This window comes from Homo sapiens, chromosome 7 (genome assembly GCF_000001405.40).
Source record: "Homo sapiens chromosome 7, GRCh38.p14 Primary Assembly".
In the NCBI taxonomy this organism is placed as follows: domain Eukaryota; kingdom Metazoa; phylum Chordata; class Mammalia; order Primates; family Hominidae; genus Homo; species Homo sapiens.
This window is the reverse complement of record NC_000007.14, coordinates 75306307-75324480: the sequence shown is the minus strand read 5'-3', so window position 1 is coordinate 75324480 and position 18174 is coordinate 75306307. Positions and strand designations below refer to the sequence as shown.

Here is an 18174-nt window from a genome sequence, read left to right as displayed (position 1 = left end):
CTGCCCTACATATACATTTTAATTATAATATCTTTTGGATTCTTTAAAAAAAATTTTAAAAATTTTAAAAAATTCTTTAAAAAAATTCTTTTAAAAAATTTTGTTTGAAGAGTAATAACAAAACAAATCTCTATTTGAGAATCAATAAATCTTGAGATCATTTATGGTTTTGCAATTCAACCTGAAAAATGAAGTCAAAGCTTTTATCAAAACAAAGCATGTTTAGTGCTCTCTGTCTCACTGTCTTTTAGATGCCAGACCTTAGATTTTGTGATGACTCCTCAACCGTTTAGATCTCGGTTATCTCAGAGGGATCATCAGCTTTTTAAGAAAATTTTGAGAGAAAAGCAAGTGAAGAAAAGAGTAGTCAGTGCCCAACATCATGGATCTCTCACTGAACACACCATGCCTGGTATTCTCTCACAGTGATGTCACCATTTCTACCTGCCACGTATCGGCGAAGGTTGGGACTCGACTGGTGTTTTTGATCACGATGGGAAAATCATCCAGAAAACCCCCTACCCCCACCCCAGAGGGACCACAGTCAGCGTGAAGCAGTTATTTTCTACGCTACCTGTGCGCCATAAGGAATTTCAAAGGAATATTAAGAAGGTACAGTAAATTAATCCTGGTTTTCAAGAGTATTGGTTAATGCACATGAGCAAAAGATTTACTAAAGATGTTTATTCTTCAGTTGATTCTCTTCCCATAATTTATTGAGAAATGCTTTATTTGCATTTCTCATTAAAGACTTAACTTCAGGATGATTTACTTTTTTCTTTTTATCACATAATGTTTATTAGGACTGGGAAACATAGTGAGAGTCTGTCTCTATGAAAAATTAAAAAAAAAATTGACTGGGCATGGTGGCATGCACCTGTAGTTCCAGCTACTTGGGAGGCTGAAGTGGGAGGATCACCTGAGCCCAGGAACTTGAGACTGCAGTGAGCTATGATTGCGTCACTACACTTCAGACTGTGAGACAGAGTAAGACCCTGTCTGGAAAAATATATATACATATATATACATTTTTTTTATTTTTTATTTTTATCTTTTTTTGAGATGGAGTCTCACTTTGGCGCCCTGGCTGCAGTGCAGTGGCGCGATCTCAGTTCACTGCAACCTCCACCTGCCAAGTTCAAGCGATTCTCCTGCTTCAGCCTTCTGAGTAGCTACCATTACAGGCGCGCGCCACCACGCCCGGCTAATTTTTGTATTTTCAGTGGAGACGGGGTTCCACCATGTTGTCCAGGCTGGCCAGGCTGGTCTCGAATTCCTGCCCTCAGGTGATCCGCCCACCTCGGCCTCTCAAAGTGCTGGGATTACAGGCGTGAGCCACCATGCCTGACCTTATGTACTTATATTTTTATGAGAATATTTCTCTTGGTTTTCTGATAAATGAGTTACTGGAACCCTTATGAATTTGAATGCAAATGAAACAGCTAAATGTTATATAATTGTTGTGTTTAAAAAGCAGATTATAAAACTGTCTGTATTATATGATTACAGTTTTATAAAAACAAAACAGGCCTAAATGTGTATAGTATAAAGACTGAAGAGTCAGCACTTCCATGTTCTCAGCGGTTATCCTTGGATGTGAGATCTCATGCACTTTTTGCTCTCTTCTTTGTGCCTTTCCATTTTGCATGCGTATTTCTTATAATCTAAAAAGTTACTTAAACATATGCAGCTAAAAACTTTTTTTACTTGTAAAGCGTTTGGTGCTAATTTTAACTTTTTTTTTTAGACGGAGTCTTCTCACTCTGTCGCCCAGGCTGGAGTGCAGTGGTGTGATCTTGGCTCACTGCAACCTCCGCCTCCTGGGTTCAAGTGATTCTCCTACCTCAGCCTCCCAAGTAGCTGGGATTATAGGTGTGTGTCACCACACCCAGCTAATTTTTGTATTTTTAGTAGAGATGGGGTTTCACCATGTTGGCCAGGCTGGTCTTGCACCCCTGACCTCAAGTGATCTGCCCACCTCAGCCTCCCAAAGTGCTGGGATTACAGGCGTGAGCCACCACGCCTGGCTTTTTTTTTTAAAGCTTTTTTGTAAGTCAGCCAGCAAGAACACAGGAGGAAGTACTCAAATCTCCCTTACACAGCTGGGGGCTGTGTCAGGTTTTATAAGCATAGGGTAATGAGGTGTGATTTGATTGGATCTTGCAATAAAGTAATGCTGGGAGGTGTGATCTGACTGGATCCTGCCATGGGGTGACACCAAAACTCAATCTGATTGGATCCTGGCTCCTGCCTGGGGGTGTCTGGTTCTTAAATCGGTCCGGGCTCTTCAGGCTGAGCTCTTAGGTTCCACTCCACGGTGGCACGCGTGGTTAACCTGGGCATGCACAGGGTACATGACCTTCAACCTGCAGGTCGATGGCAATTGGAAAACAACTGACAACTTCATTACATAAAAGTTGAACTGATTCGGGTGCGGTGACTCACGCCTGTAATCCCAGCACTTTGGGAGGCCAAGGCAGGTGGATCACCTGAGGTCGAGGAGTTCAAGACCAGCCTGGCCAAAATGGTGAAACCCCGTCTCTACTAAAAATATAAATATTAGCCAGGCGTGGTGGCGCACCCTTGTAATCCCAGCTACCCCAGAGGCTGAGGCAGCAGAATGCTTGAACCTAGGACGTGGAGGTTGCAGTGAGCTGAGATCGTGCCATTGCACTCCAGCCTGGGTGACAAGAGTGAAACTCCATCAAAAAAAAAAAAAGTTGAACTAGATTTGGTCTGATGCAGTTACAGATTTACAAACCGCGTCCCACCCTCCTGCCAACACCTTCCACTCCTCATTCTTGAGGGATTAGGGATGGAGGTCATGCTTCTGTATCGACTTCATGCTGACCAGGGGCACTTAGTCCCCTAAAGTGAGAGGAATGAAACTCTTGGGCTTCTGAGTTCAGATGAGTTCTGGGGTCACCCGGAGTAGCTTGAAAGGCTGGTATTGTTGTAATACAAGCTGAAGGTGGAAGTGTTGGATCCTGGAGGACAAACAGCTCACCATCCATTTAAATAAATAGGACCAAAAAGTAACAGAACAGTGGCCACGAGGGGCCCCAACAGAGGAAGAAACCAGGTGAGGTGTGGTATAGTGGACTCGACTGCCTTCTAAATCTCAGTGGTTGTCCGGGTGCGGTGGCTCACGCCTGTAATTCCAGCAAAAGAAGAGCCGAGGCAGGGTGATCACGAGGTCAGGAGTTCAAGACCAGCCGGGCAAACATGGTGAAACCCCGTCTCTACTGAAAATACAAAAATTAGCCAGGTGTGGTGGCGTGTGCTGTAGTCCCAGCTACTAGGGAGGCTGAGGCAGGAGAATTGCTTGAACCTGGGAGGCGGAGGTTGCAGTGAGCCGAGATTGTGCCACTGCACTCCAGCCTAGGTAACAGAGCAGGACCCCATCTCAGTCAATCAATCAATCTCAGTGGTTGAACTACCCTTGATATGGTTCAGCTCTGTATCCCCAACCAAATCTCATGTCCAATTGCAATTCCCAGTGTTGAGGGAGGGACCTGGTGGGAGATGATTGGCTCATGGCGGCTGACGTCCCCCTTGCTGGTCTCGTGATAGTGAGTGAGCGCTCATGGGATCTGGTTGTTTAGAAGCATGCAGCACCTCCTGCTTCACTCTCTCTGTCTCTCCTGCTCCACCATGGCCAGAAACGTGCCTGCTTCCCCTTCGCCTTCTGCCGTGATTGTCAGTTTCTTGAGGGCTCCCCAGCCATGCTTCCTGTACAGCCTGCAAAACTGTGAGTCAATTAAACCTCTTTTCTTCATAAATTCCCCAGTTTCCAGTAGTTCTTTATAGCAGTGTGAAAACAGACTAATGGACCCTTCTGGTTGAAGGAATGTAGCCATTCTGCTTGTTTAAGTATTTCCTTTCTATTCATCTCTATTTCCCGGGAGGTGTTTATCCAAGTGCAATAGGAGATATTGGTGACTGCAGAGTCCCCTCAGTGTTCTGCTAGTAAATAGTTGAAGGTTGATCAGTGATCTCCAGCATTTTCAGTCTGGCATGGAAAAGCCCCCATGTAACTGGTAAAGGTATCAGTAAGCACCAGGAGGTATCTAAATCCACCAGGAGCCATAGGCATCATGTTGATGTCCATTTACCAGTCTTCCCTGGCAAGATTCTCTGAATTGTACTGCCTTGGCCAAAAGAGGTATGGGAGGGGCTGGGCACAGTGGCTCACGCCTGTAATCCCAGCATTTTGGGAGACCAATTCGGGTAGATCATTAGAGGTCAGGGGTTCAAGACCATCCTGGCCAACATGGTGACATTCCATCTCTACTAAAAATACAAAAAGTCAGCGGGGTTTGGTGTTGGGTGCCTGTAATCCCAGCTACTCGGGAGGCTGAGGCAGGATAATCACTTGAACCTGGGAGGAGGAGGAGGTGGCAGTGAGCTGAGATCTCGCCATTGCACTCCAGCCTGGGCAACAAGAGCGAAACTTCATCTCAAAAAATAAAAAAAGAAGTCTGGGTGTGGTGGCTCGTGCCTGTAATCCCAGGACTTTGGGAGGCCAAGATGGGTGGATCATGAGGTCAGGAGTTCAAGACCAGCCTGGCCTAGATGGTGAAACCCTGTCTCGAGTAAAAATACAAATATTAGCTGGGCATGGTGGCACACACCTGTAATCTCAGCTACTCAGAAGTCTGAGACAGAAGAATTGCCAAAACCCGGGAGGGAGAGGTTGCAGTGAGCCGAGATCGCGCCACTGCACTCTAGCCTGGGCGACAGAGCAAGACTCCGTCTCGAAAGAAAGAAAGAGAAAGGAAATTCCCCAGGGAAGTACCTCGGCTTATTTCATGAAGAGGTACTGAAGGAAGCAGAGGCATGTGGAGGACTTCCCCACCTCGTGCAGCTATTTGGGCCGTGGCGTCTGAAATTTCTTATTTCAGAGTCACCCCTTTGATGACCTTGGCAGTGGACTGCAGTCATCTGTTTAGGCCTCTCCATGGCCCGTGTCAATGCCGATATTTCTGTCTGTTGCACATTTGATTTCCTTGTTGTTGGCATTTAGAAGGCCCCCTGTTTCCCAGATCACACCACGGGCATGGACCGCAGAGATTGCATCTTGTGAGTCTGTAGAAACAGTCAAGGCCTTGTCCTCTCTTAGGTCCAGAGCTCAGGTGAATGCAGATTTTCCCGGCCATCTGTGCTGAAGTCCCTGTGGGGAGGCTCCTGGCTGGTTTCCTGTAGGTAGACAGCTACACATCCTGCCCTTCATTGGCTTCTTTTCATGAAGCTCCTGCTGTCTACAAAACATGTCTCCCTTTTCTTCTTGAACCACATCTCTGTTATTGAAACTCTAGAAGTCAGCCAGGCACAGTGGCTATGCCTGTAATCCCAGCACTTTGGGAGGCCAAGGTGGGTGGATCACCTGAGGTCAGGAGTTCAAGACCAGCCTGGCCCACATGGCGAAACCCTGTCTCTAATACAAATACTAAAATTAGCCAAGCATGGTGGCCACTGCACTCCAGCCTGGGTGACAGAGCAAGACTCTGTCTCAAATAAAGAAAGAGAAAGTATCATGCTTTTCAGAGTTCTGTGGGTTGTTATGGTGAATTATCAAACCTGAGGACGTGGTGGGAACCTCCAAATTTGCAGCCAGTTGGTGAGAAGTACATGCGGTCTGTGGACACCCAAGCTTGCAGCTGCATCTGAAGCGAGGGCAGCCTAGCGGGGGCTGGTGGCCTTAACCTGTGGCATTTGATGTAACATCAGGGAGTTGACATCAGAATTACGTCACACAGGCCAGGTGCAGTGGCTCATGCTTATAATCCCAGCAATTAGAAAGGCAAGATAAGAAGATTGCTTGAGCTTGAGTCTGAGCCCACAGTGAGCTATGACCGCACCACTGCACCCCAGTCTGGGTGACAGCACAAGACCCCGACTCCAAAAATAAAAAAGAAAAATCACAAAGAATTGCATGGCAGAGTGCCTGTCTTTCACAGCTTGAACTGTTGCAGGAACTTTCTTTTTTTTTTTTTCTTTTGTGATGGAGTCTCGCGCTTTCACCCAGGCTGGAGTGCAGTGGCGCGATCTCTGCTCACTGCAGGCTCCGCCTCCTGGGTTCACACCATTCTCCTGCCTCAGCCTCCGGAGTAGCTGGGACTACAGGCGCCTGCCACCGCGCCCAGCTAATTTTTTGTATTTTTAGCAGAGATGGGGTTTCACCGTATTAGCCAGGATGGTCTTGATCTCCTGACCTCATGATCCACCCACCTCAGCCTCCCAAAGTGCTGGGATTACAGTCCTGAGCCACCGCGCCTGGACTTTTTTTTTTTTTTTGAGAGGGGTTGGGGAGACATATTCTCTGCTAGTGATTCTCCTGCCTGGTCTCGAACTCCTGCTGGGATCACAGGCGTGAGCCACCACGCCCAGCCACCTTTAGAGTTTTCTTACCACCTGGTTTTCCTCTCTCAATATCTTTCTCTCATTTCCTGCTTTAAAACTCTAGCTTGGGGTCTGGGCACAGTAGCTCATGCCTATAATCCCAGCACTTTGGGAGACTGAGGCGGGTGGATCACTTGAGGTCAGGAGTTTGAGACCAGCCTGGCCAACATGGTGAAACCTTGTCTCTACTATTTTTACAAAAGTTAGTCAGACGTACAGGCGGATGCCTGTAGTCCCAGCTACTTGGGAGGCTGAGGCAGGAGAATTTGCTTGAACGCGGAGGTGAAAGTTGCAGGGAGCCGAGGTTGTGCCACTGCACTCCAGCCTGGGAGACAGAGCGAGACTGTCTCCAAAACAAACAAACAAACAAACAAACAAAAAAACCCTGTAGCTTGGGATCAGCCTTCTCTTCTGTTGTTTTTCTTTAAAAAATAAAAATTAAAAATAGGCTTCAAGTGATCCTCCCGCCATGACCTCCAAAACTGCTGGGATTGTAGGTGTGAGCACTGCACCCAGCCGTATGTTTTTTTCTACATAAAAAACAGCACAGGATTATCTTCCAAAGCTAATAAATATGTTCAAATAACCACAACCCCATTAAGGAAAAATGTCACTTGACAGCAAATAATCAATCCAGACCACAATATGATCACACTCACTGTGAAGGTGAGAAAAGTTCATCTTTATTATGTTTCCCCAAGAGATGCACTGCACTGTTCTCTTGAAAACACACAGCTCATGTCCTCCTTTAGAACACACATCCTCTTTAAAGTAACATACAAACATGCCAAAACAAGATAAAAAATTCCATCTGAATTCTCACATTTCAAACATACACTAAATATCAAATAAAAATTTATTTTTACAAGAATTTAGGGGAACTACCACATAGCTATAAATGTAATATATATGTTAACTAAGTATCATAGATAAAAACCATGCTCCCTTCAGCAGCACGTGTAATAATAGATACAAAGATTGAAAGGTAAAAGATTTAGGATGAAAAGAATCCTCTCTTAAAAAGGAAAACAAAATTATATGTATGTGTATACAACAGTTATAATACCCATCACACAGCTTTATAGAAACAGCATCTATTCAAAAATACCAGTATTTCCAAAATATTTAAAATAATATTTAAAGTAATAATAATATTTAAATAAATAAATATATTTAATAAATATTTCAGTAAATAAAATAATATTTAAATAATTCTATACCCATGTTTTTCAAAATAAACCAATAAAATAGATAGTATATATTAGACGTGTTAGTATATATATCTGAGACATGTTAAAAATCACAACTGAATTCTCACAAGTCAGTCACAAACCTAAACAGCAAATAAAAATTTCTATCACCAGAATTATGTTTTTTTCTGGTGGGGAACTACCAATAGCTATAAATAGAAGAGATTATTATGGAAGTATCATAGATAAAAAGAGTGCTCGCTTCAGGAGCACATATAATAATACAGAAAAAAAATTAAAGATAATAAAAGATTTAGGATAAAAAGAATTCTCACTTAAAAATGAAAAGAAAATTATCTTTAGGTATATATAACAACTATAACTCTCATCAAAAAACTCTACAGGAACAGCATGTTTTCAAAAGTACAACAATTTCCAAACTATTTGAAATAAACCTATTAATAATTCAATGGCCAACATTTTCCAAACAAACCAATAAAATGCATAGTGTGCATGAAGCTATCTGTTACAGTCTGTGGCACTCATATTTCACAAAGAATTCTGTGCCAATCTGAGCCCCTGCACTGTGCCTTCAAATGCTCCTGGACTGTGGCAACCAAGTCCATAAGAAACAGGACCTCCAGGTTCCGCCCCAGGGAGGTTGGCATTCAGCAATATAAAAAGGGAGGTGGTGCCGCAGGAAAGGGTGGAACTGGAAACACTCCTGGTTTCTTACTTTTCTCCAAGGACTCCTAGAAGTACCCCACCCCACCCCTGCTCCTTGGAGGACAACGTGATCACTGTATTCAGCTCTGTCAAGAATGGTCCAGGTTCTTCTAGATGATCTGCACAAATGGTTCCTCTCCTCCTTCCTGATGTCTGCCATTAGCATTGGAATAAAGTTCCTGCTGAAAATCCACATCTCCCCTGGGTCCGGTGTTCTGGAAGTGAGAGAGACAATGTCACACTTGAAGGAGGCAGCTCTCTAGACAGGAAGGTTATTCACGTCCCATGTCAAGTCTAGCTAGAGTTCAGAGCAATTGAGAAGTGCAATTTTATCTCCTGCCTTTCATTCTATACCCTGCTTCTGAACCATCGTGTTCAACTGTGAAACTCACACTTTGGTGACCCTGACTCCAAAACTTAATACACCCAAGGTCAGCCCCAGTGATCTGCTTCATAGCCAGGACTTTGGGTGGGTCTTCCCAGGGAGTAGGGCACCCTCAGAGAATGTGGCTTTGGACTTCATCACAGCTGGGGCCTTTTGTGTCACTTCAGATCTAAACTTGTAACCGTGCTAGATCTGTTTCTAACGTGACAACATCACGAACCACGAGTCCAGAAGCCTAATCCATAATCCTCCCTCCTCATGACGAAGTCTCATGCTCTGTGCTCAACATGGTTAGCTGCACAAGATGTAAACCAAAGCTTCACTGAACCCTCGACCCAAATCGGTAACTCAAGTGCATCAATCATAATGAACCTCCCCGAACTCAGTATTTATGATTATTTTTGAGGCAGGGTCTCACTCTGTCGCCCGGGCTGGAGTGCAGTGGCAGGATCAGGGCTCCCTGCAGCCCCGACCTCCCAGGCTCCAGCGATCCTCCCGCCTCAGCCTCCTGAGTAGTTGGGAGTAGAGATGCCTCCCACATCGCCTGGCTAATTTTTGTATTTTTGTGGAGAGGGGATCTCGCCACGTTGCCCAGGCTTGAAGCCAGATCAAGCAATTGGGTTCCTTGGATTTCCGAAATAGACCCCAATATTCTGCCTTTACCCCGGAGGATGCAGATGTACCTTCTCTCAGGCCGATGACCTCAGGCCTCCACGGTCCCTGGAGCTCTAGGAAAGGTGGGCGCGATCTCGCGCCCACACCCAGTGCTCTGGGTCATAAGCCTGGATCTGGAAAAACAAACGCGCTTTGAGAAGACGGGGACTCCCCAGGATACCCCTCTCTCCCCTCGTCCAGCCTCCAGCCCACCCGATTCCTCCCCACATCCTCCACGTCCCCAGGCCCCACCCACCTCTTCCAACTCCTCCAGGGAAACCCAAGCCCTGCAGCGCATGGAACAAAAGAAGTGGAACCGATACTTCCGGAACAAGGCTATCTGAGAGCAGTTCTTCCTGGCCCTCGGGTTCATGTAACGGCATAACTGGAACCAAAGCTCACTGAGCAAGGGTATATGAGAGCGGGTCTCCTCGTACAGGAAGTAGAAGATGTTTTGTTTGGGGGCCTCGTCGTCCTCCTCCATGTCATTGGCCAGATAGCTGAGGACAGAAATCAGGTTGCTGCTCAGGGGCACCACCAGGAGAGACCTCCGGCTGAGGTCAGCTTCTCAGAGAGGAAGGTAAGGGACCGTCCCTAGCTCAGGACTGGCACCCACCCTGCAGAGAGCCACGCCTTCCTCAGGAGGGCTCTGCTGGACAGAGACCTGATCAAGGGCGTCTCCCACTCCTTCAGGATGGAGACAAAAACCCAACTGGTGACCAAGAGTGGTGGCTTATGCCTGGAATCCCAGCACACTGGGAGGCCGAAGCAGGAGGATCACTTGAGGCCAGGAGTTTGAGACAGGCCTGGGCAACATAGCAAGACCCTCGTCTCTATTAAAAATATAAAAAATACGCCAGACGTGGTGGCTCATGCCTGTAATCCCAGCGCTTTGGAAGGCTGAAGCAGGTGGATTGCTTGAGACCAGGAGTTTGAGACCAGCCTGGTCAACACAGAGAAACCCCATCTATACTAAAAATACAAAAATCAGCCTGGTGCGGTGGCACACCCATTAGTCCTAGCTACTCAGGAGGCTGAAGCATAAGAATTGTGTGAACCCAGGAGGCGGAGGTTGCAGTGAGCCAAGATTGGGCCCCTCCATTCCAGCCTGAGAGACACAGCAACACTCTTGTCTTGATAAATAAATAAATAAATAAATAACTGTCCAGGTGTGGTGGTACAGCCCTGTAGTCGGAGCTAATCAAGAGGCTGAGGTGGGAGGATCGCTTGAGCCCAGGATATGGAGGCTGCGGTGAGCTATGATCTCACCACTGCACTCCAGCTTAGGGGACAGGGCAAGTCTGTCTCAAAAAAAAAAAAAAGCAATTGAATACACTGATATTTTGCCAGGACCCTGCCTTCTACAGGCATCTAGTCTAATGGGACTGGGAGTAATCAGGGGAGATGACCTAATCCCAATGTCACATTATAATAGGATGTAACTGGAGAGCTACGGGCATGCAGAAGTTGGAAGACGAGGGAAGGCATCACAGAGGCTGTGGGGTGAACCGACTTCAAGGAATGGGTCCTTCCCTTCAGAACCACATGTGTGCGGGACACCCAGACAGAAAACACAAATGCAAAGTCAAGTGGAGGGCATTTGGAAGGAGCAGTGAAGCCAAGCCAGGAAACACCAAGATGGCGAGCCAGTGTGGTTGTAGAGATTGTAGAGAGGGTGGAATTGGCACTGTGGACCCTGGCCTCGATAGAGAAAGACATCAGCTAAGGAAGTTGTTCAGGTGGGCAGTGAGGTTGTCGTGCTTTGGAAAGATGTTCAGGCTGCACTAGGAAGCCCCCTGGCTTGGGGAGAGACTCCAGGAAACCCCAGCAGGGAGCATTTGACAGTGGATTCGAGTGATGCAAGGGGGACCTGGACTGTGACCTCTGTCACGGGAACCCGGAGGAGGCTGATGGCTTTTGCGGTTGATGTGGGAAGGAGAGAGAACAACCGGAAACGTCTGCTTGCTGGGGGAAGTGTCATGTCCGCTCCTCCGCTCCTTTTCTTCTCCCCTTAGGAGCGGTTCATGGTTCCTTTTGTTTTTTGTTCTTTTTTTTTTTTTTTTTTTGAGACTATAATCCTGTCTTTTTTGTACACAGAGTAAAGAGGACAAATAGGTGAAAGAATAAATGAAAGGCTGGAATCCCACTTCCCCCGCTGTCCCAGGGCATTGGATATTGACGGATAGGAGGCAGCAAACCACTCACAGAGCCAGGAAGAAATGAATGCGTTGGTATTGCCAGGAGGGGAGGCCGGCCCGGCTGAAATACGCTATGACCATAGCCAGGAGATACTGATGGAGAGAAAGGAACACAGAGAGGGAGAGGTCACATCTTGGGAGAGGAAGATTGTGGATATAGTGGAATGGGGGTCTGGGGAGGGGTTGCCCATCAGAGAAGGGACCTCAGTGTTGGGGTGACTGTGCTCATGTGGAAATTGCGGGGTGGAGGGGTATTCGAAGGTCGGATGCAAATCCGAGAAGCCGGAGGAAGGGTTTTTGGTGATGCTCCCAGGATGGTGGGCTCCGATGGGATCTTTGGAGGGGGTGTGTCTAGGTCGGCTGGTGTCAGGAGGGTCTTTTGTGTGCCAGGCAGAGAACTGTCCCAAGGAGCTGAGAGTAGAGGGCCCAGGAGCTTCAGGGCTGCAGCCAGACTGTGGCCCAGGGCTCAGATCCCAAAGGACCCATAGGAGAGGCAGGGGCCACTCATTCACTCTGCAAGAGACCAGCAGAATCCTGACGGAGATGCTGACAAATCATAAAAAGACAAAGAATAGCCGGGAGTGGCAGCTCAAGCCTGTGATCCCAGTACTTTTTGAGAGGTGGAGACAGGAGGATCATGTGAGCCCAACAGTTGGAGAACAACCTGGGCAACACAGCGAGACCCTGTTTCTAAGAAGATTTCAAAAATTAGTTGAGCATGGTAGCATGTGCCTAGTCCCAGCTCCTCAGGAGGCTAAGGAAAGAGGATTGCTTGAGCCCAGGAATTAGAGTGAGCTATGATCATGCCACTGTACTCCATCCTGGGGAGCAGAGCTGGATTCTGTCTCAGAAAAAAAAATGTGTGGGTGCCAAGACTCAAGACCATGGGAGCTGGTCAGACACAGTGCTGACGTCTGTAATCTCAGCACTTTGGGAGGCCAAGGCGGGTGGATCACCTGAGGTCAGGTGTTCGGGACCAATCTGGCCAACATGGCAAAACCCCGTCTCTACTAAAAACACAAAAATTAGCCAGGCGTGGTGGTTCATGTTTGTAATCCCAGCTGCTTGGAGGCTGAGGTGGGAGAATCGCTTGAACCCAGGAGGCATCAGCTGCAGTGAGTCAAGATCGAGACACTGCCCTCCAGCCTGGGCAGCAGAGCAAGACTGTGTCTCACAAAAAAAAACAAAAACAAAAACAAAAAAAAACTGTAGGAGCATCTGGTGGGAGGTGGTGGACGGAGAACTGTGGGTTTGGAAGCTGCGCCCTCCCCCTGGCCGTGCGTTAGAACAGGAACACAGTTACATAGAGAACAACCTTACCTTGTCCGACACCCTCAGATCTTTGTCCCAGGCCAGGAGTCTTTTAATGACAGGATCCTCTGTGATTAGAGAGCAGATGTCAGTGTGAGAAGCAGGACAGGGTTTCCGTGAGAGCAGCAGGGCAGCGAGGAGAAGTGTGCCTCCCGGGGGAAAGTCTCAGGATTGTGGCCGCGGGTGAGGTGGATGAGAGAGGGGAGAATGACTTTCACTGGGCAAGGGAGAGAGGCTCCTGCTCTGAGACTCCCCTGAGAAGAGGCCGAAGGAGGCCCTGGGTGTGAGAATCTACAGGATGTAGAGCTGGGAATCAGCCAGGACCCCCTCCAGCAGACACGGAGGGACCACTGCAGAGTCATAAAGGAATTCCCATCATTTCCTCATGAGACAGTCACACATCAGGGTGTGACCATGGCCTTGGTATCCCTCACTATGGATGGAAACACTTAGGTTTAGAAAAGTCAGTAAGAAACATTAAGTTTCAGAGGGCACAGCTGAAACCACTTTTTTGATTTTTGATTTTGTTTTTCTTTATTTGATTTTTATTTTTATTTATTTATTAATTTATTTTGAGACAGAGTCTTGCTCTGTGGGCCAGGCTGGAATGCATTGGCCTGATCTTGGCTCACTGCAACCTCTGCCTCCTGGGTTTAAGCAGTTCTCCTGTCTCAGCCTCCCGAGTAGCTGGAACTACAGGGATGAGCTACTGTGCCCAGCCTTGGTTTTTCTTTTGACGCAGAGTTTTGCTCTGTCACCCAGGCTGGAGTGCAGTGGTGCAGTCATAGCTCACTGCAGCCTCAAAGTCCTGAGTTCAAGCAATCCTCTTGCCTCAGCCTCCCAACGTGCTGGGATCTCAGGCGGGAGCCACAGCGCCTGGCCCAAAACCAAGCTTTCTTATCCCAAGCACCGACCTTTATCAAGTCTACCTAATCCTCTGTTGTCTCCTAAGTGTCCCTCATGAGTGATCACTTCAGAGTCCTCCCGCATGGAGAGCTCACCCACTGGGGCATATTTTTCCCATTGGAAAAGTGTGGTTATTGGAAGTTTCCTCTTTAGAAAGAACAGGATTGGAGGTGCTCTCTGGGGTGTCCTCCTACCAAGCAGCCTGTTGAAGGCCTCGTAGTACTCAGGGAGCACGAGCGACACTCGCCGTCGCTTCGCCTTCATCTTGAGGCCACACAGCGTCTCCGCCACCCAGGTCTCCTCAGGCTCAGGGGCGAGCTCCTTCTCTGGCTCATCATCAGATTCATCCAAACATTCCCTCTTCCTTTTCCAGCCAAGGGACCTACGTGGGGGGCTGGGATCTACCCCAGGGGCTGAGTAAAGAAACCAGGCCACCGTGTAATGCTTCTGCAACTGATCACGTTAGACCCCGACCCCAAACCCCAAACCACTCTCCATCCTCCCCAGCCTCGCAGACTGCTGGCTTCTCCAAGCCACCTTTCTGACTTTCTCCTCTGCTCAACCCCATGTGCCACTCCTTCCCCTCCCCATTCTTCCCTCTCTCTGTCCTCAGAACACTGCCTCATATCCTTCCCTGGTCCCTGGCTCTCTGAGTCCCTCTTTTTTTTTTTTTTTTTTTGTTTCGAGACAGAATCTTGCTTTGTCACCCAGGCTGGAGTGTAGTGGTGCAATCTCAGCTCACTGCAACATGCATCTCCCGGATTCCAGTTATTCTCCTGCCTCAGCCTCTCAGGTAGCTGGGATTACAGGTGCCTGCCATAATGCCCAGCTCCATTTTGTACTTTTAATAGAGACAGGGTTTCACCATGTTGGCCAGGCTGGTCTCAAACTCCTGGCCTCAAGTGATCCGCCTGCCTTGGCTTCCCAAAGTGCTGGGATTACAAGTGTGAGCCACTGCACCCAGCCTGAATTTCTCCATTCTTCCCACACACCCTCCCCAGGTTCTCCTTCCTGACCTCTGACCCTTCTTTTTTTTCTTCTTTTTTTTTTTTTCTTCTTTTTTTTTTTTGAGATAGCATCTCACTCTGTCACCCAGACTGGAGTGCAGTAGCACGATCTCGGCTCACTGCAACCTCTTCCTCCCAGGCTCAAGTGATTCTCCTGTCTTAGCCTCCCAAGTAGCTGGGATTATAGGCACACACCACTACCGCCTGGCTAATTTTTGTACTTTTAGTAGAGATGGGGTTTCACCATGTTGGCCAGGCTGGTCTTGAACTCCTGACCTCAGGTGATCTGCCCGCCTCAGCCTCCCAAAGTGTTGGGGTTACAGGGGTGAGCCACCACGCCTGGCCCCCTTCCTTCATCTTAGTCAATCCTATGCCACCTCTTCTTTCTCCAGTCCCCTCACCTGATGGTCCCAACACTTCATCATCCACCACCTCCTGGAGGGGGTACCCTGAGGTGCTCCGCTGGGGGCTCCGCTCTTCCTGGGGCTGCGGTTGATGGCTCATCATGATCTTTCCCAAAATCTGTCCCATCTCACCAAACCTAGTCTCTGTTCTGTCCTTGGTCTTCTTCTGGACACTGCTGGGATCCAGAAGAGTGTGTTATCAATTCTCGAGGCTGGGAGAAGTCAGGAGTGGAGAACAGCTCTGAGAAGTTACTGTTGTCCAACTGAACTCCCAGGTGCCGACAGAGTCCGGTCCCTCCAATCAGGAAGGTCGGAATCTCTGATGTCATCGCTCATGCCAACCTGGCAACCAGTTTGAAAAAAAACACATGTAACTGCCAGGCTGATCTCTTGTCCTGGAGATCCTGGGTGAATGGTATCTCCTGCCACTGTCCCAACCTCAGACCACTGTCCAAAAGCATCTTCAGGGTCTCCGCATCCCTCTGTTCCCTGTCCCAGCAGAGGCTGTGTCCTCTCCACTCAAAGCTTGAAGCGTGTTGGGGTCTCCTCTTCTCTGTACATGCCCGTTTCAGAGTCCAGTCTGGTGGGAGAGGGATCAGGATGGGAAAGAAAAGTAGGGTAAGCAGAAACGATGAAACCTTACAAGAGTGAGATTATCATGTACAAGAGATCCCAGGAACATTGACTTGATGAAAAAGTCACATCAGAGCACTCAATTTGGCAGAGGTTTTCTGCCGAATGTCTACTGACATTCACTGTCCGAGATTCTGTACTGGGGGTACACGCGTCCTCTGCCCTAAGGCATCTTTGAGTCCAAGAGATACTTTGAGGACTGGAAATCATAGGAAACTGCCCATGAGTTCACACATATTTCCAATGGTGTCCCCAATTTCAGGGAGTCCACGGATCACCTAAAGCCAGCCCCTCCAGTTTGGCTAAGAAACTCTATATATCAAGTTTTGTATCATATGTATTGCTCTTAACTCAGAAAATTCCACCATTTATAGCAGTGGTTTATTTATTTATACCATTGAAGGAAATGGTTTATTTATGAATCTATATTACGGATATTCTATAAGATACTGGGTGTACAAAAAGACTAAGTCGAAAAATCTCAGCTGTGCACAGTGGCTCATGCTTGTAATCCCATCTCTTTGGGTGGCCAAGGGAGGAAGACTGCCTGAGGCCAGCAGTTCAAGACCAGTATAGGCAACATAGCAAGAGCCCATCTCTAAAACAAAACAAAACAAAACAAAACAAAATTAGCCAGGTGTCGTGGCTGGCACCTGTGTTCCAACAACTTGAGAGACTGAGGTGGCAGGAGGATTGCTTGAGCCTAGGAGTTAGGGGCTGCAGTGAGCTGTGATCGTGACACCGCACTCCAGTCTGGGCAACACAGCAAGACCTTGTGTCAAAAAAAATTTTTTAATTAAATATAAAAGAGTTTCATGACATTCAGAGACCATCCAAAGAACCTGTGGGTTCCGGCCAGGCACAGTGGCTCACGCCTGTAATCCCAGCGCTTTGGGAGGCCATAGCAGGTGGATCGCTTGAGGTCAGGAGTTTAAGAGCAGCCTGGCCAACATGGTGAAACCCCATCTCTTCTAAAAATACAAAAAATTAGTCAGGCATGGTGGTGGGTGCCTGTAATCCCAGCCACTCAGGAGGCGGGGACAGCAGAATGGCTTAAACTTGGGAGGCGGAGGTTGCAGTGAGCCAAGGTCACACCATTGCACTCCAGCCTGGGCAACAAGAGCAAAACTACATCTCAAAAAAAACAAACAAACAAACAAAAAGAACCTGTGGATGAGTTCCCACATGGCTTCCTAACGGGCTGCGGCTCTCCTAGGAGTCTCTCGCTCATGGGAAAGGCACAAACTGAATGCGGAAGGAAATCCCATTGCTGTGGAAGTCCCATTGTTAGGAAGCTCTGCTTTTCTGGAGTTCAAATTTGCATTCATGACGCTTTAAACCGTCAGAGCTGGGTGTGTCCTCCTACAACAAATCACTTTACTCTCTCTCCTAGTTAACAGGCTTTCAAATATTAGAACATCCATGTTCTGACCTCATTAAAATTGCTCTTTTGTGGAATGAAAAGCTCTGATTTAACCCGTCTTTAAGCCTGGTATGCATATTCCTCTCTGTTCCGGCCACCTTGTCTAGACACACTACACTGAGGCAGTGCCCATCTTAGATGATGTTGATACATTGTCAAAAAATGGGCAAACCAGGTGCGGCGGCTCACACTTGTAATCCCAGCACTTTTGGAAGCTGATGCCGACAGATAACCAGAGGTGAGGAGGTTGAGATCAGCCTGGCCAACATGGTGAAACCTGTCTGTTTTTCTGTAAAAATACAGAAACAATGAGCTGGGCGTGGGAGTGCACTTCTGTAATCCCAGCTACTTGTGGGGCTGAGGCAGGAGAATCACTTGAACCGGGAAGGTGGAGGTTCCAGTGAGCCGAGATCACGACACTACACTCCAGCCTGGGCGACAGAGTGAGACTCCGACTCAAAAAAAAAAAAAAAAAAAAAGTGCCAGACAGCCCAGGTTTGGTCTGATATGTTCAGAAAAAAGCAAAACAGTCACCTCTCACCTTTTCTTTTCCTGCAATGATGCCGTTTAATACAACAATGGCTGTAGGTCTGCGGCAGAAATATCATTCAAGTGAAACAGAAGGGCTTTCCTGGCTGGACACAGTGGTCACTCCTGCAATCCCAACACTTTGGTTGGCTAAGGTGGGAGGATTTCTTGCGGCCAGGAGTTCGAGGCTGCAGTGAGCTGTGATCCACCACTGCATTCCAGGCTGGGCATCAGAGTGAGGCCTGTCTCTAAAAAAACCCTTCACTCCCCAAAAAAAGGGATTTTCAAATACCAGCCTTTCAGCATGAGGATCACATGGAGGAACATTAAGACACAGATGCTGGGACCCAGCCCTATTGATTGTAATTAAAAAACTGAGGTGAGGCCTGATTTAGCTCCATCATTGG

At 47.7% G+C, this 18174-nt stretch overlaps 1 protein-coding gene across 4 annotated transcripts in view; it reads right to left on the bottom strand.

Annotated features, from left to right (window-relative positions):
• Positions 7052–18174, bottom strand: part of SPDYE14 (speedy/RINGO cell cycle regulator family member E14) — an 80225-nt gene continuing 69102 nt past the window's right edge. For 2 of the 4 annotated variants that reach the window (NM_001382494.2, NM_001382495.2), the window contains exons 3-9: positions 15181–15763; positions 13967–14185; positions 12876–12934; positions 11563–11648; positions 9614–9857; positions 9387–9491; positions 7065–8533 (exon numbers count right to left, since the gene is read on the bottom strand). In NM_001382494.2, coding sequence (NP_001369423.1) covers positions 9432–9491; positions 9614–9857; positions 11563–11648; positions 12876–12934; positions 13967–14185; positions 15181–15310 — 798 coding nt within the window. In that variant the 5' untranslated portion in view covers positions 15311–15763 and the 3' untranslated portion in view covers positions 7065–8533; positions 9387–9431. Of the gene's footprint in view, positions 9492–9613; positions 9858–11562; positions 11649–12875; positions 12935–13966; positions 14186–15180; positions 15764–16983; positions 17106–18174 lie in introns of those variants that run through there. The other 2 variants (NM_001394940.1, XM_047420696.1) reach the window with 2 other exon arrangements.